Consider the following 26023-nt stretch of genomic DNA (forward strand, 5'->3'; position numbering starts at 1 on the left):
GGGAGGTTGCAGTGAGCTGAGATCGCAGCACTGCACTCCAGCCTGGCCAACAGAGTGAGCCTCTGTCTTAAAAAAATCGAAAAATGTTAAGTGTTCTAACTTTGGATGACAAGGAGCTTGCGAAGTTCCTGAATGGTGAGCTCTTGGGGGTGGGTACCTCTGACTCTGGCACAGCCTGGACATGAGTCCTCAAAGGGTGCTGGTCACAAGAGCCCTCACACCACCAGCCTGACTCCCGCCCCTGGGTAACTGAGGACGGTGGGGTCCCCTTAGGTAAGGAGGTCTCCTGGCAGTTCCCTGGCTAGACAAGGGCTGGCACGGAGCAAACTCAGCCTGTGTTTCTCCCTCTTAGAGACTCTACACCTGGACTCAGGCGGTGGTGGGGACGTGGCCCAGCCAGGAGGCGGGGGAGCCGTCAGTGTGGGAGGACACCCCGCCTGCCAGCGCCGACTCGGGCATGTGCTGTGAGAGTGACTCGGAGCCCGGCACCAGTGTGTCGGAGCCCCTCACCCCTGATGCCGGGAGTCACACCTTCGCCTCGGGGCCAGAGGAAGGGCTGAGCTACCTGGCAGCCTCAGAGGCTCCGCTGCCACCTGGGGGCCCTGCGGAGGCCATCAAGGAGCATGAACGGTGGCTGGCCATGTGCATCCAGGCCCTGCAGCGGGAAGTGGCAGAGGAGGACCTGGTGCAGGTGGACAGAGCCGTGGACGCCCTCGACCGCTGGGAGATGTTCACGGGCCAGCTCCCGGCCACCAGGCAGGACCCACCCAGCAGCAGGGACAGCGTGGGGCTGCGCAAGGTGCTGGGGGACAAGTTCTCCTCCCTGAGGAGGAAGCTGAGTGCCCGAAAACTCGCCAGAGCAGAGTCGGCCCCCCGTCCCTGGGATGGGGAAGAGAGTTAGTACAGCAGGGGCTGCCCTACGTCTCCTTCCCTAAGGATGCTGGCCAGCACTGTCCAGTAGCTGAGGCCACTACTGACCTGCCAGGGATAAAGAGGAAGGGTCTGCCTGGGTGGTGGCTCAGGCCTGTCATCCCATCACTTTGAGAGGCCAGGAGTTTGAGACCAGACTGGGCAACATGGTGAGACTCTGCCTCTACAAAAGAAAAATTAAAAAATTAGCTGGATGAAGTGGTTCATGCCTGTGTTCCCAGCTATTCAGGAGGCTGAGGTGGGAGGATTGCTTGAGCCTAGGAGGTCGAGGCTGCAGTGGGATGTGATCATACCACTGTACTGCAGTCTGGGCCACACAGAAAGACTGTCTCCAGAAAAAAAAAAGTTCTTTGGAGAAGCCACAGACCACCTGTCTTCAGGCGCCTCCTTCAACTCCTGAGTCCCAGCCAGCCGCTCCCAGGGGCCTGCACACATGGAGAGGCCTCCCTGATCCTGGGTGCTTCTCGTGGAGTACAAGCCGGACTGTGCTGAGGTTGGGACAGAGCCCCCTCCCCTGCAGAGGCAGAAGGAAGCAGCGTGCGTCCTGTCTCCTTCCAGGCTGTGGGCCTGCCCTTCAGTTATTTATAGCTGGAGCTGGAGAGGCTGGCTCAGATGAGGAGTGACCCCGGGGGCACACAGGCTCCACACTGCCACCCAGCTTCCAAGGCTGAGTCTCCTCCCTAACGGGGAAGTGACGGGGTTTTGTCTCTATCATCTCAGGCGTCAACCACATGCACACACACACTGTCACGTTCTGTGGCGCTAACAGCATCCTGATCCTGACGGACTTCACCGGGGCTCTCCAGGCATCTCTTCTGACAAACACTGCAGGAGGTGAGGGTGTCTGACGTGCACTGAGGGCAGAGGCCCCCTTATTCCTGAGGCGGCTACAGCTCACCGTGGGGAAGATCAACTGTGGTGATGTTTTTGGGACAGTTTCTTGGCAAAGGTGGCCGCGCTGTCAGTACCAAGTAGCTGGAGGTGGTGATCAGATGATCTGTCTTTCCTTTTTTTTTCGGTCTAGTTCTGTCAGTTGCTGAGAGAGGGGTATTATTGCCATGGCTGGGCGTTTGATCTGTCTCCCTTTAGTTTTGCCGGATTTTGCTTCCTGCACTTTGAAGCTCCTTTACGTCCCTGCACATTTGATTGTTGTGTCTTCCTGAGGAATTGACCCTTTTATTGTCACACGTACCCCCTCAGCCTGTGGTGGAGGGTCTCTGGGAGAGAGACTTCCGGTTCTGACAGCGGAATCCCTTCGGAGTGACGAGGGCGGGGTCACAGCTCGCGCACCCTCATCTGGAGAGAGGCAAGAACAGGGCAGCTTGGACCTTTTGTGGGTGGGTGGCTCACACGGTTATGGAGGGCTTCTAAGAAAAACAAAATACAAAACTAAAACTAGAAGGGCTATGCAGGTGAGGTGGGCTGAGGCTTCCTTGTGAATCTGACATTGGTGGAGGCCGACTGAAGGCTCCCGGTCCTGGTCCCACTCCGTGTTGACTTCAGAGAAGCAAAGATGCAGCTCAGAAGTAGCATTAGGATCTTCGTCCCGTTCTCTTTTGCGTAGCTTCAAAAAGGCGTAACAGTGACCTGGGAGGGGAGATGAAGAGCTAGGCCTTTCAGAAAGTGACCAATGGAAGGTGCCGGCAGAGCACCCTGCAGTAACAGAAGGTGAAAGCCGGAGCCTGGTGGCTGTTGCTGCAAACAACCACCCAAAACTTAGTGGCTTAAAATCACCACAGTCTAGCTCATGAATCTGTAACTTGGGCAGAGCTCGGTGGAGACGGTTTGCCCCTGTGGCTCGACTGGAGTGTTCGTTCACACGGCTGCCAAGTGGAATTTGGCTGGGAATCTCAGGCCTTGGTTCCTGCCCACGTGAGACTCTCCATGGAGGAGGGGCATCTTCTTAGGAAGGCAGCTGCCATACCGTGAGGAAACCCGACAAACAGGGCAGCCAGAGCCAGACAGCAGGCTCCTGGTCCCAGTCCCGGAAAATGCAAAGGGACAAGTATGTGTTGATTTCAGAGAAGCTCAGATGTAGCATTAGGACCTTCATCCATACCCTTCTCTTTTGCATGGCTTCTAAAGGGCATGACAGTGACCTGGGAGGTAACTGTGCCAGAATAAAGAGGGGAGACGAAAAAAAGAGGGTCACTTTCAGAAAGGGACCTGGGCTTCCTCACAATATGGCGGTTGCCCTCCTAAGGTGGACATCGGGAGGGTCAGATGGAAGCTCTGTGGCCTTTCCTAACTCGGCCTCACGTCACAGAGCGTCACCTTTCCTGCACTCCACGGCGGCAGTGACAAGGACCCCACCCCAGGTTCACGGGGAGGGGACGTGGCAGGGAATGTGAGACAACACAATATTGCTGTGGCCATTCATGAACAGTCAGTCAGCCCCACTCGGCGTTCACTGTGGGGATTTGGCTGGTGCACCTGCGAGGTGGCCTGACCTGTTTTCCGATTTCCTTCATCTTCTGCAAAAGGTTAACCGCTGGAGTGATGCGAGATTAAACAGAGGTGATAAAAATAGAATGCCTGGCTCATGCTGAGGGTGGGAGCCCACTGGGGTTATGACCAAAGCCTCGGCGCTCTCTGTACCCGTGTCCTTTGACCCTCAGCTGTGATGTGTGTCCCAAAAAAGCGTTTTGAAGTGGGAAGGAGCAAACCACTAAAAAAAACTCCTTTTATCCGCAGCGTTTACCAACTTGCAGATGTCAGTGAAATTTTTTAAGACAGCTGTTAGAAGGACTGTTTTGAAATGCAACTTTGAGGAAGAGAAATTGGTTTCCCTCCTCTCCCCCGTGTTAGCCCCAGGTTCTGTCTGTGCTGTGGTGAAGAGTGACTTGGGACAGTCACCAGGAAAGACGCAAGGCAGAGGAGAGAGAATGAGGGCTGCCTTCTCGAGGAAGGTCACAGCTCACGAATCTTTCTAAACTTAAGTGCTGCAGAAGTTGAACTGAGATTAAATTTAGAGATGATGGTTTCCAAGACACACAGGGCCACGGTTCTTTCAGTTTTTAAACACGTGCAAAGTCCACTGAATTGCTTTCTCGTCTCATCTGTCAGAAGCCCCTGCATTCACAAGGATGGGTCTTCCAGCTTGACGATGACCTCTCTTCGGAGAGCCTCACCCATCTTGGTAAGCCAAGTCAGCGGGGCCTCATGGAGCTAAAAATAGTTTCAGGTCATGACAGATGTTATCTGTATTGCTGTGTGTGCGATGAGTCTGGGGAAGCTAACACATGCCTTCTGAAGTGGCTAGAATACACACTCCCACGTCACAGCCATGCTATGATGAAGGGGTGAGAAGCAGTGTCCCCTCTGAGGCAAATCTCTCTTCAGGCAGCCCCGCAGTCCTCTTCCGAAATCTCATTCTTTTCCCTCTCTTCCTCCCCAAAAAGCCCAAACTCATTGTCAGAGTGGGGAGAGGGGAGAAGCAGCATCCTGACTCCTGTCCATGGTGTGAACCCTGAGGGCACGGGACAGTGAGTGGAGCTCTGCCACCACCCGTTTCCAGAGCATGGGTGAGGAGGGAGGGATGCCGACCTGTTAATATTTGCTTCAGACCTTTCCCCGATGAACGAAATCTCCAAAAGCCTTAAACATAAAATGGCTTAGTCAAGCACGAGTGATAAAGCTGGGAGTCCAAATTTAGATCCCACCAAGTTCAAAGGGGGAGGCTAGAACATTCCAGGGACACACCTACACGCAGAGGGTCTCCATACAGTGCCAAGGGAGCTGCTCTGCAGACCCACCAGGCAGGGACGGCCAGGCCTCGGAGAGAGGGACCGGCTGCCCTGCCCAAGGCCCACCTGGACAGGCAAGTCTTCCCTAGTGGGTCAGTCAACTCCACCGCTTAAGGGGTCCTTCCTATGTAACGGAATTTTTTTACATCATCATCGAGTCTCGAAATGACCTGTAAGGCAGATGGCTGCATCCCCACCATATGGCTGTGGCTGTCGAGATGGGACTGGGAAGGGCTGGAGCCTCAGAAACGGCAGAGCGGAAGTTGAGGCGCAGTCTGTTCTTGCTTGAACCCCGAGTTCTCCCGCTGTTGTGCAGCTTTCTAAAAGCAAGCTGGAGCGGTCTGAGCAGGAAGAGAGTAAGAAGGCGCACGGACGCGGGAGGCCTGCACCCTGATCCCTGAGCAGCCCCCACACACCGGCACCCACGCCCCTCGGTTCTGATAACCAGGAGGCTTTCTGGCCCGTGCAGCTCCTTCGGACTCTGAGGAGAGGCCTGGGTGGGTGGCCGGCACTCTTAGGTGAGGTGCCAACGAAAACACCCCCGTGATTGCTGGGGCTTCACTGATTTGTTTTGTTTATAAAAGGAGGGCGAGGCCTGCACAGGAATATTTTTATCCCCGTGAAGACGGAGAGAATCAGGGCTTCGCGACGGGGCTCATAGACCTGAACTGGGTCTGCCTGCCTGTGTGCTGGAAGCAAACGACGGCCCGTCCTCTAAGCTGGCTTTGCAGCTCCAGTAAGAGTGAGAGACTCACGGGGGCCTGGCTGCCGTCCTGGGAGAGGCCCCGGGAACCGGCTCGCCCTGTACCCAAGGGCTCTCTGGAGCTCACCCCGCACGCAGGCTGCTCCAGAGCTGAAATCTAGCTGTGATCCCTGTGGGGCAACTGCACACAGAGGTGCCCAGTTTCAAGGAAACCTAAAGCAGCAGCAAATTTATGGCTCTTGGAACACGAGGCTGTCAAAGATAAACACCGCAGGGTAATCTAGGAAACACTTCCGGCTTGACTGTAAAGAGCCCTGGCCTGCGAACGCTGTTAAAAACAGATGCAGATCGCGGGTGGAGACGGCCGGCCGAGCCTTCCCTTTTCTGACATCCTACAGCAGCACCTTGATGAATGAGAACCCGGAAGAATGGAGGTTTATTTTTGAACTCAGCTTCTTGGGTAGGGAGGCAAATGAAAACAGGCTGATGTCAGGGGTTTATTTTAAAAAGCAATTTCCAAGAAGCGTCCTGGGGTCACCACGCGTTCAGTCCAACTCTTCCCCGCTGCAGTGTTCCCGTGACGATGAGGCAAATCCAAATAGTCACCGGAGTCGAGCAAACACGGCGGCCCCTGCCTCCCCCGGCGGCTCCACAATGGCCCTCAGAGGGTCCGCGGCAGCCAGGCCCGTCCAACCTCCTGCCCTCTCTGAGAGGGGCCCGAGCTCTCGCAAGATTAACCAGAGACGACACCTACCAGATTCCACCACTGAGGCCTCCCTCGATGCCTGCTCCCTGGGCTTTTTAATGAACGCACTTCTGTCACATGGAAACTGAGCCCGGCATGGAGTCACGTGGCTCCACCCTGGGGCTCCTCTGATGCCGAGAGCTCTGGCTCTCCTGACTGTGGGCCCAGTGTCCATTTTCTCTCTCAGGCAGGGTGCTCTGCCCGCCACAGTGTGCCTGGTTTTCTGGATACAGCATGACTGAACCGCCCCTTCTCAGCAAAGGCCAACACGTCTTTCTCGAGTCCAAGACCATCTCCCGTTCAAGGGCCCTCACCGCGCTTTGTGAGTCTGTCTCGTGGGCCTCCTTCAGTGGTCTGTGACCAGCGGGAATGAATGGGGACGTGTTTTGTTCAGCCCTGACTCTTGGACGCTGGTGGCAGCCGCGGGCGCCCACTCACCTGGCACGTGGACGAAGGTGATGAGCGCGGCTGACGGCTCCCGGGGGCAGTGTGGGGTCCAGTCTGAAGCCGACGCCCCTCTCGGTCAGGCTTTCAGCAGCAGAAGGCAGTGGACTCTTCACCATTTCTTCCAACACTTTCTCACGTAGGAGCTCCACTGTCCCTTCTAACAGGACAGGGCTTGTGCAGCCGGGCTTGGTCTTGTGGTCAGGGAGAAGCGGGCAGGCCAGGGCCGAGCTGCGTCCGGCTCTCAGGGACTTCCTCTCCCTGTGCTCTGCCCACCTGGGGTAGGCCTCTGGGAACAGGGGAGTCACAGAAACCACGGGAAACGGAGTGGGTTGGAAGAGGCAGAGAACACGCTTTTCTCAGGGTCGCTTAACACAGGCAGGGGTACAGGAGAGCTCCGGCCATTTATTCCAAATGTATGAGCAGGAAGGAAAGAGGGAGGGAAGCTGCAAGAACAGGCGACTTTTTTTTTTTTTTTTCCCCCCCATCTGAAGTGAGATCAAACTTCTACCACATTCTACCTGTGCCCTTCTGGGTGGGTGGTGGCCGTCCTCTTGGGCGCCCCCTTGTGAGGGCTCGAGGCCTTTACTGGATGGGCAGGATGCGGGCAGCAGCTTTGTCGGCTGCCAACCCAACTCCTCCGACAGAACGGCAGGTGGCCCCTGTCGGAAGGGGGGTGTCTCTTTATTCCTGCCATCCTCCGGCCGCCTCTCCCGCCTGCACCACTTGGAGGCAGTTGTTTCACGTGGGGCTCTTGATGGCATAACCTGATGTCTGTCACGGACCCCCAAGCAGGAGCAATGCCTAAAGAGGGCAAAGGCCCGCGCGCCTGGCAGAGCTCCCTCCTCTGCTCCAACAGCAGAGCCCAGAGCATCCCTTGGCCCGACGCACAAGTCCCACAATAGCCTCTCCCAACGGGAACGACTTAGCCCTAATTACATGAGCTTTGATCACCGCTCGATTGTATGGCACAGTTATTTTTAAAAATCCAGTCCAAGTGGAAATACACCTGGAACATTTTATACTGCAATGACTGATGGACGACTTTGATATACAAAATAAATTGTTACTCAGCTTTTCTATAATGCTTACATCTTACATTTTCATTCTCAAAATTAATAAATGCTATCAACCCCAATTTTTTTTTTTTTTGAGATGGAGTTTCGCTCTTGTTGCCCAGCCTGGAGTGCAATGGTGTGATCTTGGCTCACTGCAACCTCTGCCTTCCAGTTTCAAGCGATTCTCCTGCCTCAGCCTCCCACGTAGATGGGATTACAGGTGCCTGCCACACCATGCCCGGCTAATTTTTGTATTTTTAGTAGAAATGGGGTTTCATCACCTTGGCCAGGCTGGTCTCAAACTCCTGACCTCGTGATCCACCCGCCTTGGCCTCCCAAAGTGCCAGGATTACAGGCGTCAGCCACCGTGCCCAGCCTCAACTCCAAATTTTAAAAAGGGCTTAAACGAAGAGGATGAAATTCTGGAAGGCTAAATGAAAAGAGAATGTGTCTGTTGAATTCGATAAGCAATTCCTTGCATTTGAGAAGGCAAGGAGCCGACGGGAACCTACCGACAGGGCTGCCACGCACTGCTGCAGAGCTTTCCGTGCAAAGCGCGGCTCCCCTCTGAGACTCGGCTCCTCTGCTGACATGGACCGGTTCATCTACCCACGCGGACGCCCATCCACAAACACTTAGTCACTGCTGGAGGCTTTTAAAACACCTGTCAAATGAAGAGTCACTTCACAAATGTTCACTCCCCGTTTCCATGTCTCCCCACGTCAGGGTGAACACTTTTTATGCGCTGTGACAAAAAGAGAAAGACTAGTGTGTGTTTTGGGGGCTGGAGGGGATCATTATTTTTTTGAATTTTTATTTATTGAGACAGAGTCTGTGTTGCCCAGGCTGGAGTCCAGTGGTGCGATCTTGGCTCACTGCAACCTCCGCCTTCTGGGTTCAAACGATTCTCCTGTCTCAGCCTCCCAAGTAGCTGGGACTACAGGCGCCTGCCACCAAGCCTGGCTAATTTTTGTATTTTTTAGTAGAGACGGGGTTTTACCGTGCTGGCCAGGCTGGTCTTGAACTCCTGACCTCAAGTGAAACACCGAAGTCTCCCAAAATGCTGGGATTATAGGTGTGAGCCACTGCGCCCAGCCTTTAAAAAAAAAAAATTATTTTAGATACAGGGGTCTTGCTATGTTGCCCAGGCTTATCTCAAATGCCTGGGCTCAAGCGACTCTCCTGCCTCAGCCTCCTAAGTAGCTGGACTACAGGTGTGTATCTCTACACTGAGCTAACTAAAAACTTGTTTTTGGTAGAGACAGGGTTTCAGCCACGTTGCCCAGGCTGGTTTTGAACTCCTGGGCTCAGGCAATCCTACTGCCTCGGGCTCACGAAGTGCCTGGATTACAGGTGTGAGTCACCACGCCCAGCCCGTTATTTCTGTTTATACGAATGTCACAGCATGTTTCCTGTGTGACCCTGCGGGCTGTCATCGCTGGCTGCCTGCCTTACGCCCACAGGTCTGGTGGTGGCGACCAGCAGCTGCAAAACGACCGACTCTATTGAAGACACACTGGGTGGCGCGGGAGGTTCCTGCCAATGCCGGGAGGAAGAGCAACCCAGGACGCCTGTGCCTGGGAGGGATGGAAAGGCCAGGGGAGGGTGGAGCTCAGGAGTGGAAGCACAGGGACTAAGGCCTGAGCCGGGCCCTGTGCTGAGCGCTCACCTCACTCTCCTGCCGCGCACCGCAGATGTGTGGAAGATGTGAGGAGGCCTCTGCTTCGGGAAAGGTGCTTGCCCCACGGTGGAACGCACTCTGGAAGCCCGTGGATGCGACGCATGCTGCAGAATCCACTGCCACACACATTCTTCTGTTTGAAAGCAGTAGGTGGGCTGGGCGCAGTGGGTCACTGTAATCCCAGCACTTTGGGAGGCTGAGGTGGGTGGATCACGAGGTCAGGAGATCGAGACCATCCTCGCTAACACGGTGAAGCCCTGTCTCTACTAAAAATACAAAAAATTAGCCAGGTGTGGTGTCAGATGCCTGTAGTCCCAGCTATTTGGGAGGCTGAGGCAGGAGAATGGTGTGAACCTGGGAGGTGGAGGTTGCAGTGAGCCGAGATCGCGACACTGCACTCCAACCTGGGCAACAGAGCGAGACTACGTCTCAAAAAAAAAAAAAAAGATAGCGGCGGGTGGGTGCCACACTCAGGGGCCCCCCACTTCTCAGCAGTGGCGGGGGAGGCAGGGACATAACACGCCAGGAAAACAGGTGTAATTTAAGGCACATTTTAATAGATTTATAAAAATCATATATACAAAACATGTTAAACTAACCACCGTGGCTATAACATATATTTTTACACTTTATCATATCTTAACCTCGTACACTGTATTCGTAAACCAAGTCCGGTCACGGCATGATGGCCCGGCGCAGGTGGTGCTGGCGCTGTAGCGACCGTCTTGGAGGGGCTGCACAGAGCACTCGGTTCCTTTCTGTATTTAAGGTCCTGAAAGGCACAGGCGCTAAAGCCAGAAGGCCGTCCAACTGGTCCCTTCGGCAGTGTGTCCTCCTGCTGCGTGGGCTGGGGCCTGAGCACAGGAAAGGGAGTTCAGGACACGGTGGCCATGAGTAGGTGCCAAGCTTACCACACTGAATTTCCTGGCGACGCTTGTGCCCATCGATGTGAGCTGGTTCAAATGGAGTTAAGAAAAAGGGCATTTCGAATTTTTTTTTTTTTTTTGAGACAGACTCTCGCTCTCTCGCCTGGGCTGGAGTGCAGTGGCGCGATCTCGGCTCACTGCAAGCTCTGCCTCCCGGGTTCATGCCATTCTCCTGCCTCAGCCTCCCAAGTAGCCGGGACTACAGGCGCCCGCCACCATGCCCGGCTAATTTTTTATATTTCAGCAGAGACGGGGTTTCACCGTGTTAGCCAGGATGGTGTCGATCTCCTGACCTCGTGATCCATCCGCCTCAGCCTCCCCAAGTGCTGGGATTACAGGCGTGAGCCACCGTGCCCAGCCAGGACATTTTGAATGTTTTAAACCAATTTGCCTGACAGGTCAAAAGGTAATTTTTTGAGATTCGAGACTGACAGATGCAACAGAGATTTTAAATTTTGCATAGGCTTGTTAAGAACCCAGACTGGGTGCAGCGACTCATGCCTGTAATCCCAGCACTTCAGGAAGGCTGAGGTGGGAGGATCACTTGAGGCCAAGAGTTCAACACCAGCCTGGGCAACACAGTGAGACTCCATCTCTATACAAAATTTAAAAATTAGCCAGGTGCGGGTGGTGGCCACATGCCTGTGGTCCCAGCTACTTGGAAGGCCAAGGTGGGAGGACTGCTTGAGCCCAGGAGTTTTGAGGCTGCGATGAGCTATGATCACACCACTGCACTCCAGCCTGGGCCACAGAGCAAGACCCTATATTTAAAATAAAATAAAGTAAAATAAAATAAAACAAAATAAAAATCAAGAAGGTTCACTGTGTAAAAAAAAAGTAAATCTGAAATGCATTTGCATGGCAGTTGTACAACCTGTGAGTGGTGTAGAAATTATATGTGACTTGAGTACATTTTATAAAAGAAGAAAAAAAAATTGAACAGGTTGACTCCTAATAAGAAAGCACCACAGAGTGTACAGCCCACGGTGCCTGTGGGCTGTGTGGGGGCCCTGCTGCAGACGCGTGCTCAGCACCTGTCACCCACAGCTAAGTCACAAGAGCTGCTGGCACCTGTTTGCAGGGGAATGTGGCAACATGCACCCGGGTGCATCCAGACAGCCTGGGTGAGCGGGAGAGCCACAAAGAACCAACTTCATTCGTGTGATTTCCAGATGCAGGTCTGGTTCAGTTCTTGATGCCCGAGTTTCAAAGTCTCCTACCTGACCAAGTGTCCTCGGCCTAGTTTGTACTGACCTTCTTTGAGGAGCACAGATGGGAAACACATTGGTGGCGAAGATCTCCTGCATCACCCCGAGGCTGCGGGAGATCCCTTGGGAGCCAGCTGTCGGACTGAGGAGGAGGAGGGGTGCCACAGTCTCGAGGGGTTCACGCTGCTGGCCACAGCCCTGCATGCCCCCTCGGCGCTCCCCAAGCTCTCGGGGACGATTCAGATCAGCTTTCCCCACAGCTTCAGGGCAGAGGCTGAAGTTGCAGACAGCAACGATGGAGGCCTGCAGGTCAGGCACCGCGGCTGTCCCCAGCAACCCTGTTCTCAGAGACTCCCTCTGCGCCTGGAGCTAGTACCAGAGAGCCCCGGAGCTGGGCCTGGAGGACTTTACATCCTCCTCACAGAGGGCCACGCTCTTGACCACCCCTACATCTGTCTCTGCGGCGATAAACTTTCCCTCGACTGGACTTCTGGCCAGATTTTTTTTTGAGACAGTCTTGCTCAGTTGCCCAGGCTGGAGTGCAGTGGCGTCATCTCAGTTCACTGCAATGTCCACCTCCTGGGTTCAGGCAATTCTCTGCCTCAGCCTCCCGAGTAGCTGAGATTACAGGCGCCTGCCACCACACCTGGCTAATTTTTTGTATTTTTAGTAGAGATGGGGAGTGGGGGGGCGGGTCTCACCATCTTGGCCAGGCTGGTCTTGAACTCCTGACCTCGTGATCCACCCGCCTCAGCCTCCCAAGGTGCTGGGATTACGGGCATGAGCCACTGCGCCCGGCCACTTCTGGTCAGACTTTAACAGACGAGCTACACGGTCTAAGCCAGCTGGGGCTCACCAGCGCCGGGCAAGGCCAGACCTGCGACCTGTCGAGAAGATGTGGTCCTCCAGGAAAGCTCTACTTCAACGACAAATAGGTGGGGTTACGTTCATTTGGGTGAAATGCATCAGCTTTTAAAATCACAGAATGAAGTGAGTTCACTGTTAATTAAAGGGTGCCAAGGTGACAGGCCTGGAACAAGAGCCCTTCATTTTCACCAACAGGACCAGGCAAGAGACGGGAAGCCCTTCCACCGACCATGGCCCTCTGTGCCTCTCTGCACCCTCCCACCCCACCCACGAGGGCCAGGCTGTGTGTCGGCCCGGCAGGAAATTCAGGCTGACGTGGGACCCCACGGTAACTGCACCTGTGTCCCGCTTTGGTTCATGTTACAACACACATCCGAAAGAAAACCAAAGGGAGAAAATAACCTCCTTGAACCTGCTTAAGAAAAAGCACCTAAGTTTTGGGTGGAGCTGTTTCTACTACTGTGAAGTCAGCCACTGAGCCGCATTTCCAACACGACTTCCAGCAAATCACCGTCAGCCACGTGCCGAGGCTGCCGGGCGCGTGAGAGTCTCACAATGACAATGTCCGGGAAGGATTTCCAAACGTCAGGGTTAAGCATGGGAGCGATTCTCGTCCCCGCCACACCCGGATCCGCCAGGACAGAGAAGCCGGTACCCCAGCGGGTGGTCTGCTTTTCTGCGCAGAAGCACTGTGGTCTATTTCTGAGTTCTACCCACTTCCTACCCCTCACCGCACACAAACACTAACTTGCAGCAGCATCCACCAGGACGGGGTATCTGGAACTCCCTCACTTCTAGGGACCTCCTGTTCCCTCCTGCTGGGTTCTGCGAGCGCACCCTGTGAATGGGAAATTCAAACACTGAGAAAAGCTTATCTGCCAGGGACTAGTTCAGTGGGATGTGGATTAGCTAAGGCCCAAAGCATGGCTGTTCTGGGCCCTCAGGTCCTCCGGGTTCAGGGGCTGGAGCCATGGCCATGGCCTGCGGTAGGCAGAACCACGCCACGCCAGCATCTCCTAGAAGGGGCTGCCCTGGGCCCGCGGCACCAGACGGACACAGCTGCGCGAGGGGAAGGGCGAAGGATGCTTCCAGGGAGCAGTGACCTGTGTCTGAAGTGAGCTTCCACCCGAGGAGATGCCAATACTGCAGCCCAGAAATCCAATGCGTCTATTTCAATATGGCGCCCTGAACACCGCAAATAACCTGCCTCCAAGTTCCAGAGGGTTCTGGAGGGAGAGATGGAGCAGCAAGTGAATGAGAAGCCATAGGGCAGGTCTCAGTGACCTGAAGACTTTCCTCCAGAGAGCGTGCAAGACAGGCCATGAACCTGGGACCTGGAGGCAGGAGCAGCACGTCCACACCCTGTGGGCTCCACTCCCAGAGCTCAGTTACCCCCGAAAACCGTAGACTCTGCCTCTCCCTGGTCGCCTGTCAGCCGCCGTTGAGGCCTGCTCAAAAGGCGGCTTCAGCTCCTTTCTTGGGAAACCTAACGCTTTTCTGTTCCAGGTCCAACACAACGCCTCACAAAACGATCACGAGATTGAAAGGCTGATGTCAGTGAACCATCCCCTTCCAGGGCACGCAGTGCCAGACCCTCCCCTGGTGCCTCTGTATACAGGCGTCCAGCCCGCCCGCTGCAGTCCCCCCACCGACTCTCAGGTCTGGACCAGCTCCCCTGAACGCCAAGGCTTCAAGGAAACACCAGGATCCCATATTTCAGGACCATCTCTCCCCGGGGCTGCTGTGCAAATTAAGCAAGTCTTAAAGTGGCCTGTCCTCTTCAAAGCAAAGCCTCCTGAATTTCAAGCAATCATTTCGGAAAGAGACTGCTAAGCACATGTGATGCACCTTACAGAGAAATGGCACTACCAGATTTGGAAAGGCTGCATGTGCGTGAGGAAAGATTAGCAAGGATTTCATCTCTGCCCTTAAATCACCAAAGAAAACCCACCATCCCCGCAATTCTCGAGGCAGGTTGCTGGCCACAGTGAGAAGACCTTGGTGGCACGTTACACGGTGAAATACAATCCTCACCACATTAAACATGGATGTCCCCAAACCTGGAAGGAACCTCCCAGCTTGCCTCTTCAGTGACTGTCAACCCTGGCTGACATCAGAACCGCCTGGGACATGGAGAAACCTGTATGAGTTGGTGTCTCAGGCCTGGCGGCTCAGCACACTGCCCGGGTGAGAGCTCCTCAGGTGATTCGACTGTGTCCCCAGGGCAGAGAGCCACTACATCATCCAGCATGGAGACGTGAGGACATCCAGGCTCCCAGAGCTCAGCCTACAGTCGGAGCACACTGTGTGCTCAGGGCAGGTGTTTTTCTGGCGCACTCTCTGCCTTTCCCACTTGTGGTCAGTTCAAGCCCCCACCAGCCACACATGGGCTAATGGTGCTAAGTGGCATCCCCACTCCTCTTTCCAGAAAGCTGCTTGTTTGGGCAAGAAGAGAGATGCCCCGTGATGCCGAAGAGCAAGTTATGGTGGAGGCCTGAGCATGAGAGCTCTGGTCACACCACGCCGAGGACCGGACGGTGCCCTTGCTTCCTGTGAGTGGTCTCTTCGCTTTCTGGCTGGAACGATAACCCCAGGGGTTGTGAGGACAGAACCTCCACCTGCCATCCCCATGGGCACCGCTGGTCTCCAGAGCACGTCAAGGTCCTTCCCCTCCCAGCTTCTGATCTTGGAGAGCGAGGCCTCTCATGCTCACATGCATGTGTTTAGGTGTATATGCTGCCATGCCATGCTTTAAAAATAAAAAGTGTTTTGAATAAAAGCCTCTGGAACACAACTTTATTTATTTACTTTTTTGGAGACAGAGTCCCACTCTGTCACCAGGCTGGAGTGCAGTGGCATGATCTCGGCTCACTGCAACCTCTGCCTACCGGGTTCAAGCGATTCTCCTGCCTCTGCTTTCCGAGTAGCTAGGATTACAGGCGCCCACCACCACACCCAGCTAATTTTTGTATTTTTAGTAGAGTTGGGGTTTCACCATGTTGGCCAGGATGGTCTCGATCTCTTGACCTTGTGATCCGCTCGCCTCGGACTCTCAAAGTGCTGGGATTACAGGCATGAGCCACTGCGCCCGGCCATCTTCATTTATTTTTAAGATGGGGTCTTTGCTCTTGCCCAGGGTGGAGTGCAGAGTGCGATCGCAGCTCGCTGTAGCCTCAAGCTCCTGGGCTCAAACGATCCTTCTGCCTCAGCCTCCCAAGTAGCTGGCACTACAAGCATGCACCACCATGCCCAGCTGATTCTATCCGTAAAGATGGGGTCTCTTGTGGCCTGGGTTGGTCTCAAACTCCTGCACTCAAGCAATTCTCCCACCTTGGCCTCCCAAAGTGCTGGGATTATAGGTGTGAGCCACACCTGTATTATTTACAATGGTTCTCCTACATGCCAGGCTTTGTTTGGTATGTGGAAATAAAAACTGTGATGAATAAATAATAAACCACCTTCAAATAACATTAGGATTAGAGCTGGGTGTGGTGGCTCATGCCTGTAATCCCAGCACTGTGGGAGGCTGTGGGAGGCTGAGGTGGGCCGATCACGAGGTCAGGAGATAGAGACCACCCTGGCCAACATGGTGAAACCCTGTCTCTACTAAAAATACAAAAAATTAGCTGGGTGTGGTGGCGGGCGCCTGTAGACCCAGCTACTTGAGAGGCTGAGGCTGAAGAATCGTTTGAACCCACGAGGTGGAGGGAGACTCTGTCTCAAAAAAAAAAAAAAAAAAAAAATTAGGATGAGAGTGATCTGCTGTGAATCCTGGGGAATGAAAAATCAATTTAGTGTTGGTTTTGAATACTGGCACTATTTTATATTAAGCAAAGAAAGACTAAATTTATTTTAATAAACATTCAGAGGCTGAGGGTGGCCAAATTTTCAAGCCAGACCCTCCCAATGTTAATACACTGTGCAAAGCTTACACCATGAACAACTGACCCGGACCACTACCATTCCAATGGGAGCCTCTGCCTTACAATACCAGGTTAGATGTCTGTGCCCAGAACCCCTAAATTAGTTACAACTAATAATCTTCTTTCAAGAGTTTTTTTTTTCAATCTTGGAGTTAACAATCTGACTTATTTTTCTTTTATCAAAGAAGTAGGAAAATTACAATAAGAATTCTAGAGATCTCTATAAATTACAGACCTATGACTCAAAATCCTTGAAACAATTTCTCTACGAACATAAGAGTTAAAAATAGATTTCAGTAAAACCCTATATGCGTCTTATGTGTACACAGTATAGCTATGAGGAACAGATCTTATTTTGAGGAACTTTATTGTTACATTTTTGCAATAATTGAGGCACAACTACCTCCTGCTTTTCCAACATCTTAATAAAAAAGACAATAAGGATTAACAGTGAAATTAAAATTAAAAAATACAAAAGCCTAAGGTTCTGGAGACAAAACTGACTAGAGTCTATGTGTAGCCAAGTTGTGAATGACAGTTTAGCCTTGCAGAGTTTCCTTCTTCTCCAATTACAATGTGTTACAGAATTTGGAAGGGGGTGTCTTTAAAAACGTTCTAATTCACCCCGGTCATGAGGAGGAGGAGGAGGAAGTCCAGCTCAGCAAGGCCAAGTGCCTCGGCCAGGGCGGTGGGGTCAGCGCTGAGCGGGTCAAGAGCCCGCGCCGGGGGCCATCCCCCTGCGCTTTCTATCGAGTTAAACGGACCCCACAATATCTCCTTCCTCTCATGCTTCTGGTTTGAAAGTGACGAGTAAATATGTCAGACTGTTTAAAGGAAAACAAGCACTCATTGACAAGGCCGGACTACTCAGGAAGGTGTTTCAAACAACTCCCCTGCTACGCGAATCACAGCGCTGCTGTCGCCAACAGCGCCGCGAAGAGGCTCTCCCCGTTGGCGGAGGACCCGCTTGCACTTCCTCTGGGCTCTGGATTCTAACACACACAGGAGACACAGCGAAAGCTGACCCAGAAGGCAAACAAAGCTCACCACGCTCCGGACCGGGCTGCGCGTCACTGTTGCAGACTGCAAATGGGACCTGAGACCACCCCGAGGGCCCCACCAGGAGCTCTCTTTCTCCTTTAAAACGTGGTCATCGGCACTCATCTCCGGTCACATCCGTGAGGTCTGTGAAGAGCCACAGAAGCAGTACAAAAACAGCGACTTCTTTATCCAGCCAAAAAAGGAGCCACAAGCCCAGCAAACACTGACACACAGCCTCGAGCACTGCGAGAGAGAGTTCCATGCTGTCTCCCGATGAGAACGCTGTGCTAACAGGGTGACCCAGAGGCAGGTTTCCCCTCCCTCTTCTGCTTCTGCATCTGCCCCAAGGGCTTGCGTTTACCGGGTTTGCGGAAAACAAGCCAAGGGTGAGCTGCAGAGGGGCTCGGGGCTCGGGGCAGCACGGCCTCGGGACGAGGGCCCTGGGATATGTGACTGAGCCACAGCAACATTCGGGTGCCAATTAAGAGGACGCTTTTCATTTTCTTGTAAATGCTAGGACACATCCCAAAACACACTAGGCAGGATTTCTCAGTAGAGTGATACACAGAGGGGACCAGCTTGGAATGCAATGTATTTTAAACACAGTGAAAGCCACCTGGCAGGTAGCTGGACAAGTGAGCTGGGCCCAGGACTGGCCAGCTCGTATCAACATTCACAGGCTCCCGCGGGCTCCCCCAGGACAGCGGCATCCGAGAGTGTTTACTCTTCTGCAAGCACAGTCATAGAAGCGAGGGGCCTCGATGAGAATCAGACTTAGGGAGAGCGGCGAACAGGCACGGCTGTCCAAAGGCACTGGTGGAGCGGCAGTTTGGAGAAACTCAAGATTCCTCCAGCGTCTGTGGGCTTCCCGAAAGGTCAGCTGTTAGCTCGCCAAGCAGCTGGGGCATTAACAAAAGCTCTGCTAGTGGCCTTGCCAGCTTTCTGAAGCCCCAGAAGAGGAATGTTTCTGAAAGAAGGAAACGCTATGTGCTGCCAACTGTGTGTGAGCAGATGACTTGCAGGAAGATGGGAGAGCCGTCTGCAAGGGGACCTGGTTTCTGTGTCTTTGCCGTTGGGTTGGGCAGTGGGTGGCTAAGGGGAGAAGAGCACCGCTGTGTGTGCACGGACGGAGCGGCAGTCACCGTGGGCATCCTGTCTCACTCCGTGTTGTGCTGCTGGGCATGGGGCAGGGTGGGAAGGGCTGAGCCTGCTGTAGGGGCGTAAGGTGAATCCACACCTGCAGAGCTCTGCAGCCCGTCCTCAGAGCTGGGAAGGGATCCTAGGCACGGCTCCTCAGCTTCATCTGAGAGGCTTGGACTAGGGGCTCTTAGGAAATCGGCACGGGAGTTTGAAAAGGCAACGTGCTCCCTTTGGGAGGTGGCCTTCAGACACTGCGGCTGGGGCTGCAGGGCCGGGCTCAGGCACTGAGTTTAGCAGCATCGGCGTGCACTGGATCTCTACAAGCTACTGTTAGGCAAAGCTTTCAGGTTAGTCTGTCTCAGGGAAGACTTGTGAGTTAGAAAAGCCGTCTGCAAGGCCAGCTGGTTTTTGTGTTTCTGTCATTAAAGACAGAGCGTGTGTACACACATACACACACAACACGGTCCTCAATTAAACTGCGTCAGAAAAAGAGGAACGTTTCTGTAAAAGCAAAGCAAGCTGTGTGATTAGGTGTTCCGTATTCACAACATCATCACTCGGATTTTCAGTAGTTTCACTCGCCCCCAGGATTCAGTAGCTAACGTGACAGTTTCCATGTCCTTTTGCCTAGAGCTCGCTGGCTGGCTGGTCTGACAGCATTCCTGAGCCAGGTATTCCAGGGCACGGATCCGAGAAACCCACTCAAGGACCACACAGACAACACACACCCAAGAGTCTGACCGACAGCCGTGGGGGCTGCTCAACGACGACAAACCCCGGGGCTTCCTCGCTCACTGCAGCATGATGTCCTTCAGGTTCTCCTGCAGGATGGTGTCTTTCACAGCATGGAACACGAAGCGGACGTTCTCGGTGTCGATGGCGGTGGTGAAGTGGTGGAAGAGTGGCTTGCTGCGGTTCCGTCTCTTCCTGTCGAAGCACTGGACCAGGTAGCGCTGGACGTCCTCCAGCCTGTGCGGGTCGCCCCTGAAGTCCGGGAAGTGCTTCTTGATGCTCACGGTCTTCACCTTCTCCACCAGGAGGTCCATCTTGTTGAGGAAGAGAATGATGGAGACGTTGAAGAAGAGCTTGTTGTTGACGATGGTCTCGAAGATGTTCATGGACTCCACCAGCCGGTTGGTGCGCCTGTCCTCCATGAGGACCTGGTCGTACTCGCTGGAGGAGACCATGAACAGGATGGACGTGATCCCGTCGAAGCACTGGAACCACTTCTGGCGCTGGGACCGCTGGCCGCCCACATCCACCATCTTAAAGGGGATCTTCTTAATAACGAAGTCATGCTCCACAATTCCCTTGGTGGCTTTCCTAGCCAGCAGGATATCTTGCTTACTAGGAAAGTAATTCTGTAAAATACAGGATGAGGCAGAAATTTAGGGGGAGGAAGAAAGAACAGAGAAAATAGAAACAAAAAGATGGCAAAAAGATAAGAAGGAAAGAGACTGACTTTTGCAACAGGTTGAACCAGAAACCAAAAGCAAATTTCATTTATAACATTATCAACTGGCCGTGAAACAGAAAGAATCAAATACTTCATTTCAAAACGAACGGAGGCTCACCAGTCTGAGGACGAATGCTCAGAACACTCGTGGGCAGGCCCAGCGCAAAACCACATCCATTTTCTTCTCCAGAGGAAATTTACCATCTTTTTTGTTTCCATACCAGAGATACCTTTTTATTTTTCTAACTCCTAAAGCTTATAGCTTCCAAAACCTTACTGTGAATTAATTTAGGTTTTGAATGTGATGTAAATTCAATCTGCAATACATTTAATGTTATTCTTAGACAATTCTTTAAGTCTTTAGCGACACACAGGCAAGCATACTCTTCACTCACTTTGACTTTGCACTATTAATAATCCTCCAGGCCAGGCACGGTGGCTCACACCTATAATCCTGGTGCTTTGGGAAGTGGGAGGAATACCTTGAGCCCAGAAGTTCAAGAACAGCCTGGGCAACATAGTAAAACCCCATATTTACAAGAAGTAAAAACATTAGCTGGGCGTGGTGCCTCATGCTATAGTCCCAGCTACTTGGGAGGCCGAGACAGGAGGATCATTTGAACCTAGGAGGTTGAGGCTACAATGAGTTACGATCGTGCCACTGTACTCCAGCCTGGGTGACAGAGTGAGACCCTGTCTCAAAAAATCGAAAAACAAAACAGAACAAAAAACCAACAAAACACCTCCCGTGATGAGTGCACACACCACTCAGGCAGCTTCTTGCCAAAACACCAAACACGGACATGATCATGCCTCGATCTAGAGGTCTGACTACCACCCACGGGGTGTGCAGGGGACAGAGAAACATCTTCAATAACACTGCAGGGGTGGAAGAGCAAAGTCCACATGGTAAGAAACCCTACAGGATAAATAATCCAGTTACTCCAATAAACAAGTTGAAAGAAAAAAAGGAGAGACATACAGATTAACACTTAAGTGATCCTGACCAATGGCAATGCATGACCTTATTAGGTTGTTGATTCAAACTCTGCTAAAACAAAGCAAAATCAACATGAAAACATTAATGAGACAACAGGGAAAATCTCTAAACTGACTAGGTTGACATTACGGAATTACTGCCAATTTTTCAGGAGCCATACGGTACTGCGGTTGTCATTTTTCGTCTTGTCTTTTTGAGGTACACTCTAAAATATTCTCTGCATTTGCTCCCGGAGGCCGGGGGAGGGCTGCTGAAACAAGACTGGTAATCAGTGATAACTGCCATGCCTGGGGTTTCATTAGACTATTTGTTTTTGAGTATGTTTGAATTTTCCATGAGATAAAGGAAGTCCTCCTTTCACTCATGAACTCCTCTGTCTGTCTCCTTTATGGTGATCTGGGCAAAGGCAGTTTCCTCCCCTCCCCACTGAGACGGGGCCCAGATCCAAGTGAGAGCGTGCCATTACAGTACTATTCGTGGTAATGTGACAGAACAAGCTCGGCCTGTCAGTCCAGCCAAAGTCCTCACAACGTGGACTGCTTTGGTCTCTGGACACGTTTTCTAACCCTGGAGCCCAGCTTCTTCGGGCGGGCGTGCTTACTCACCAGCTGGCCGATCCGGTCCAAGTTGTCCAGGAAGTACTTCACCGACTCCCCCTGTCAGGAAGGAAGAATATTCACAGCTCAGTCTGGACTGAGGAATCCTGATGTGGCAAATACAAGAACTGAACAGGGTAAGAGCAGTGGCATTTCGCCTCCGTGTGAATGGGAAAGCAAAGGAAAAAGGCAGAGAGTGTCCGTGTGTTTTCTAAAATAAAAAAACTACCATTAAAGAAAATGTTTAATGCAGGTTCTTTAGCTCCAACCCCAAGGTTCAAATTCTGGCTGTTTTTCAATTTTCGCTGCTGGGTTTTGGTGTGTGGTGCGATGCAGGCCCCTCTGATGGGGGACTCTCTTTCCAGACATGAAGGCTGGCCCACTCCTGGCCATGCGGCCAGCAAAGGACAGGCTAGAATAGGATTTTAGATTTTGGCTCCTGGGTACAGTCTTGCTTCTGTCGAAGATGGCCTAAGGGACCCAAGACATTGTCCTTAAAGACAAAACATCCTGACGAAAAGGAGCATCTAGCAAAACATCTTCCAGTTTCTAGAAAGAGTCCATTATTCCTTCCCACATTTTTATGACCTGATTTATAGTAGCAAACACAGGGGAATCTTCCATTTGGATTGTTGTGGTGGAATGATGGCCAGTCTTCTCCTGCCTGGACCAATCATCGATACAATCTGAGACGTGTTCCATAGTGCGAAGGGCCCTGCGGAATCACCCAGGACCCCGTTTCAGGAAGCGCTGAGCCGCCAAATGCGAGGCACACACGGGGCACGGGAGGAGCCGGGAGAGCGCAACCACCGACCACAGAGCAGCCCGCATATGAACAGGCACGCAATGAGTCCCTTCAAAGGTAGCGTATTAAAAACCAATTATACCACTTTCTATAAGATTCCACTTTGAACCCTGCTCTAAAGACAGACACCAGCAGGCGGGGTCAAGGCTTCCAGGCTGCCCTGACATCAGGGCTTGTGGGAAGAGCAGTCACTTTCTGTGTTCTCATGGAAATGTACAGGGGCAAGGTCATACACATGTGGCGAGCTGACGCAGGAGAATTTTAAGGAGAGAAGGCCATCAGAATGGACTACGTGATGGCGCTGAAGCTCGTGGCGTTGTAAGGGATGGAGAAAGGCGGCCAGCACCTGCTCAGTCTATCTCTTCCTCCTCTGTCCCAGACAGACTGAGGGGAGAAAGCAGAGAGGAAGCTCCTTCAGGGAGGAGCCCACCTTCCTACTTTAGAACGAAGGCCTCTGGATGTTTTCAAAGTGAGTGTTTTGTTTGAGGGGACAGAAACACACGTCTCCCCATCCCAGCACTGCCTGTGTTGAGCGAGCACACATCCTCCTCCTCTGTGGCAGGACGGGGCGAGCACGTGCACCTCGTGACCACCGGCTCTCTAGAGCCCCAGGCAGAGGCCCAGCTCTGCAGTAGGGAAGGCATCGGGAGTGCCAGGGTGAACGTACCCCAAGGGCCCGGCACGACTGACCTCTCGTGCCTGCTCTCTCCCTTCCTCGCCAAGCCCCCGTGATGTGGGAAGCCAGCGTGAGGCCGGTGGGGCAGCCGCCTTCCCGTGGCTGTGCCAAGTCCCCCCGGTCCTCTGCACATCATGCCTCCTTCCACACCCTGACAGGAAGCAGCTGGGAGAAGCCGTTGGGTGCACTCACTCCCTGATTTACGACAAGTTCCTTCCTCAGCGCCTCTCTCTCCTGCCTCCTCCTGCTCTCCTGCCCTCCCCTGGGCCTCGGGAGGTGCCACGCAAGCCCAAGAAGCATCAGCATACTGTCCCTCCCTCTCCTGTGGCCACGGGCTCCCCCAGGGAGCTGAGAGTAGCAGCAGCTCACAGCCCAAGCCACCCTTGCCCGTTTCTAGGCAGGTGGTGGCACCAGGCACGAAGGAAGCAGAGGCAGTTCTCCTGCAGGGTTCTAGCTGGGTCAGGCATGGAGAGTCACAGTGGCACAGATGCCCCAGCCAGTGCTCTTATCACCACAGGACACAAAGCCCTGGACACACGTGCTCCGCCCAGATAGTACGGACGCAAGGGGAAAAGCACCACAGAGGGCACAATCAGGACAAGCTCGATGGGAAGCAGAAAACAGGAGGGACGTTTCCCTCGGTGTGAGTCTAAACACCCCTCGAGTCTGCAATCAGTCCCCCAGCTGCACTTCACAACACAGCAAACACTCACTGCTGCTTTCTCCACGATGACTGAATGAGGATGGCTCATTTAACTCATCACAGCATTTGTATCACTACTTGGAATGCAGGAAAACTTATCTGTGACTCTCGGTCATCTTGCATGAGTGGCGGAGGAGAGGAGTCAAATCTAGTTTCATGTCAGGGCGGCCTCATCTCGAGAAACAGCCCAGGGGGTCCGTGGGAAAGCTGCCACTGAACTGTAAGGTGCCAGGGACTGTGCCACAAGCTCTCTAATGGGGGCTGGAGGGGAGGGAAGAAGGGGACACAGAGCAACCCTGTGTGATCCAGAACGCTGTCACTCACATCCGCACTCTTGCTGTCCCTGAGGTTTGGTGCACTGCGGTTCACCAACAGAGACTGGACAATGCACCTGCTGATTGGGCACGCAGCCCACGGGACGATCGTTTGCGACGGACTCCTCAAGTCTTACAGCAGCAGCTCATTAAAAGGGCCAGGTTTACAATCCCATGCATTTTCAACACTAAGAGAATTCAGTCATTTCTTTAGAGAAAATGCATGTGGCAGAAACTGAGATGTCCACATGAAATTAACCGCTTGGTGGGTTTATAAAGAGGCACTGTGCCTGCCAAGACGAGCCCAGAGTCCTCTCAACGGCTGCTGCGGTCACACGATCTAGAAACACGAGTGGATCCAAAGTGGGCTCTCGGGACTCTCCTTGGTGTGAAAAACCTACACCACTCAAGATTAACACAAACTTGGACTTGCGGATTAAATGAAATGAATTTCATTAGGCTGGGGCCAGCGGCCACTGAGCACACACCTGACAGGGGCCTGTCCCCTGCCTCAACTGTCCCACGAATGTGTCTGTCCTCTCACGAGCAACAGAAGGGATGAACCTGAGCAGGGGCTGGTGGCAGTGAAAGAGGGGTTGTCTGTTTCAAGCAGCAGCAGCAGGTTGATATGGGGCCTGTGCACCTGTATTGGGCACAGCCGGGCAGATGTGATGTCGTGACACTGGGCAGGACCTAGGCCGACACACGCCCATGAGGAGACCGCCTTTCTGCAGAGGCCTGCAGCCTTCAGCAGTTTCTGGAAGCACCTGTCACCCACACCTCCGGTGGGAGAAAGACACACGCTCGGCTTGCTGCCGCTCAGAACTCCGTCAGCACCGTCAGGCAGGCACTGCAGCAGCCTCGCCCGTCACCTCTGTCTCTGCACACAGCAAGCTGCCCCTTCACAGACCCCTGCTGGCCTCACGCACTTCCTTCAGCTAATTTAGGACCACGAGAAAAGAGCTTCAGATCATTCAACCCTGCACAGGACCAGACCCTCGAGATCAGTACATGAGGGGCTGACTCTGGTTCCCTCTTGTCCTCTGCTCCTAATTGGAGCCTTTCTACCCACATGCTTGGTTCAGTTCCTGCCTGTCAATGTCACAGACTGACAGGGTGTGCATTAAAGACAGCCCATGTGTGGGTCCCACTGGGGAGTGAGAGGAAAAGGTAACCGTGGATTGGTCTCAGATGTAAGCGTCTAAGTAGGGACAGATCAAGGACCAGAGAGTGGTTACAAAGAAAACAAACACCAACTTCCAGCTCCTGGCCAGAGGGCCTTTTAATTTTAAACCCTATCTGCCCATTCAGGAGCTATCTCACAGTTTTGTTTTGTTTTTTTTTTTTTTGTTTTTTTTTTTTTTTTTGAGATGGAGTCTCGCCCTGTCGCCCCGGCTGGAGTGCAGTGGTGTGATCTTGGCTCACTGCAACCTCTGCCTCCTGGGTTCAAGCAATTCTCCTGCCTCAGCCTACAGAGTAGTTGGGACTACAGGCGTGCACTACCACACCCGGCTAACTTTTGTATTTTTAGTAGAGACGGGGTTTCACCAGGTTAACCAGGCTGGTCTCGAACTCCTGACCTCAGGTAATCCACCCACCTCAGCCTCCCAGAGTGCTGGGATTACAGGCGTGAGCCACAGCGCCCGGCCCTGTCTTACAGTTTCTGCACTTAGTGAGGTTAACTCTAAAATCCTAAAGCGGGGTCATTCACACTGTGACCGAAAACAGGGCTTGTTAATGGTGAGCTAGAGGATTCCAAAATCTAGTTCACTCACTTCAACGTGACAAATTACAAAGACAAATTTTAAAACTGCTGTGTATGAAAAGTAACAGCAAACTATGCCAAAGGCCCAGGTTTTCAATTTCATTACTTAATAAATAAATATTAAAGTTAGCATTTGATTTCCACTGAATAGAGACGCTAGCCAAACAACAGAGAATCTTTCAAAATACTTTTAAAAACAGTATCTAGTTCCCCAAAAGAAATCCTCATTTTGAACTCAGGCTTTGCTCAGTGAACGCCTGTGACATCTCACAGGGCTGGCGTGAGATTAAATGATA

At 52.9% G+C, this 26023-nt stretch overlaps 2 protein-coding genes across 15 annotated transcripts in view, besides 3 other annotated features; one reads left to right on the forward strand and one right to left on the reverse strand.

The window, feature by feature from the left end:
- AMZ1 (archaelysin family metallopeptidase 1) overlaps positions 1 to 26023 on the forward strand; it is an 85617-nt gene that overhangs the window by 32456 nt on the left and 27138 nt on the right. For 5 of the 11 annotated variants that reach the window (NM_133463.4, XM_047419926.1, NM_001384743.1 and 2 more), the window contains one exon: positions 353 to 7706. The exons of 4 other annotated variants lie outside the window; for them this stretch is intronic. In NM_133463.4, the coding sequence (NP_597720.1) occupies positions 353 to 901 (549 nt within the window). In that variant the 3' untranslated portion in view covers positions 902 to 7706. Of the gene's footprint in view, positions 1 to 352; positions 7707 to 12503; positions 15088 to 19043; positions 21706 to 26023 lie in introns of those variants that run through there. 2 more of the 11 variants (NM_001384742.1, NM_001384741.1) reach the window with 2 other exon arrangements.
- Positions 1165 to 1364: a silencer, noted in NCBI's record as "fragment chr7:2752776-2752975 (GRCh37/hg19 assembly coordinates)". NCBI's record gives its function as "represses an EF-1alpha promoter that drives an FKBP-Casp9 reporter gene in an ReSE screen in K562 erythroleukemia cells {active_cell/tissue: K562}" and the evidence as "EXISTENCE:reporter gene assay evidence [ECO:0000049][PMID:32094911]".
- Positions 3600 to 3649: an enhancer, noted in NCBI's record as "active region_25550". NCBI's record gives its function as "activates an Ori minimal core promoter by ATAC-STARR-seq in GM12878 lymphoblastoid cells {active_cell/tissue: GM12878}" and the evidence as "EXISTENCE:reporter gene assay evidence [ECO:0000049][PMID:35858748]".
- The window catches only part of GNA12 (G protein subunit alpha 12), a 116204-nt gene continuing 106308 nt past the window's right edge, over positions 16128 to 26023 (reverse strand). For 3 of the 4 annotated variants that reach the window (NM_007353.3, NM_001282441.2, NM_001282440.1), the window contains 2 exons: positions 21474 to 21524; positions 16128 to 19773 (listed from right to left, as the gene is read on the reverse strand). In NM_007353.3, the coding sequence (NP_031379.2) occupies positions 19204 to 19773; positions 21474 to 21524 (621 nt within the window). In that variant the 3' untranslated portion in view covers positions 16128 to 19203. The remainder of the gene's footprint in view (positions 19774 to 21473; positions 21525 to 26023) is intronic. The other variant, NM_001293092.2, reaches the window with a different exon arrangement.
- Positions 21762 to 22749: an enhancer, noted in NCBI's record as "H3K4me1 hESC enhancer chr7:2773373-2774360 (GRCh37/hg19 assembly coordinates)". NCBI's record gives its function as "activates a minimal SCP1, AML or CMV promoter by ChIP-STARR-seq in naive H9 embryonic stem cells {active_cell/tissue: H9 hESC(naive)}" and the evidence as "EXISTENCE:reporter gene assay evidence [ECO:0000049][PMID:30033119]".

This window comes from Homo sapiens, chromosome 7 (assembly GCF_000001405.40).
Source record: "Homo sapiens chromosome 7, GRCh38.p14 Primary Assembly".
NCBI lineage: Eukaryota > Metazoa > Chordata > Mammalia > Primates > Hominidae > Homo > Homo sapiens.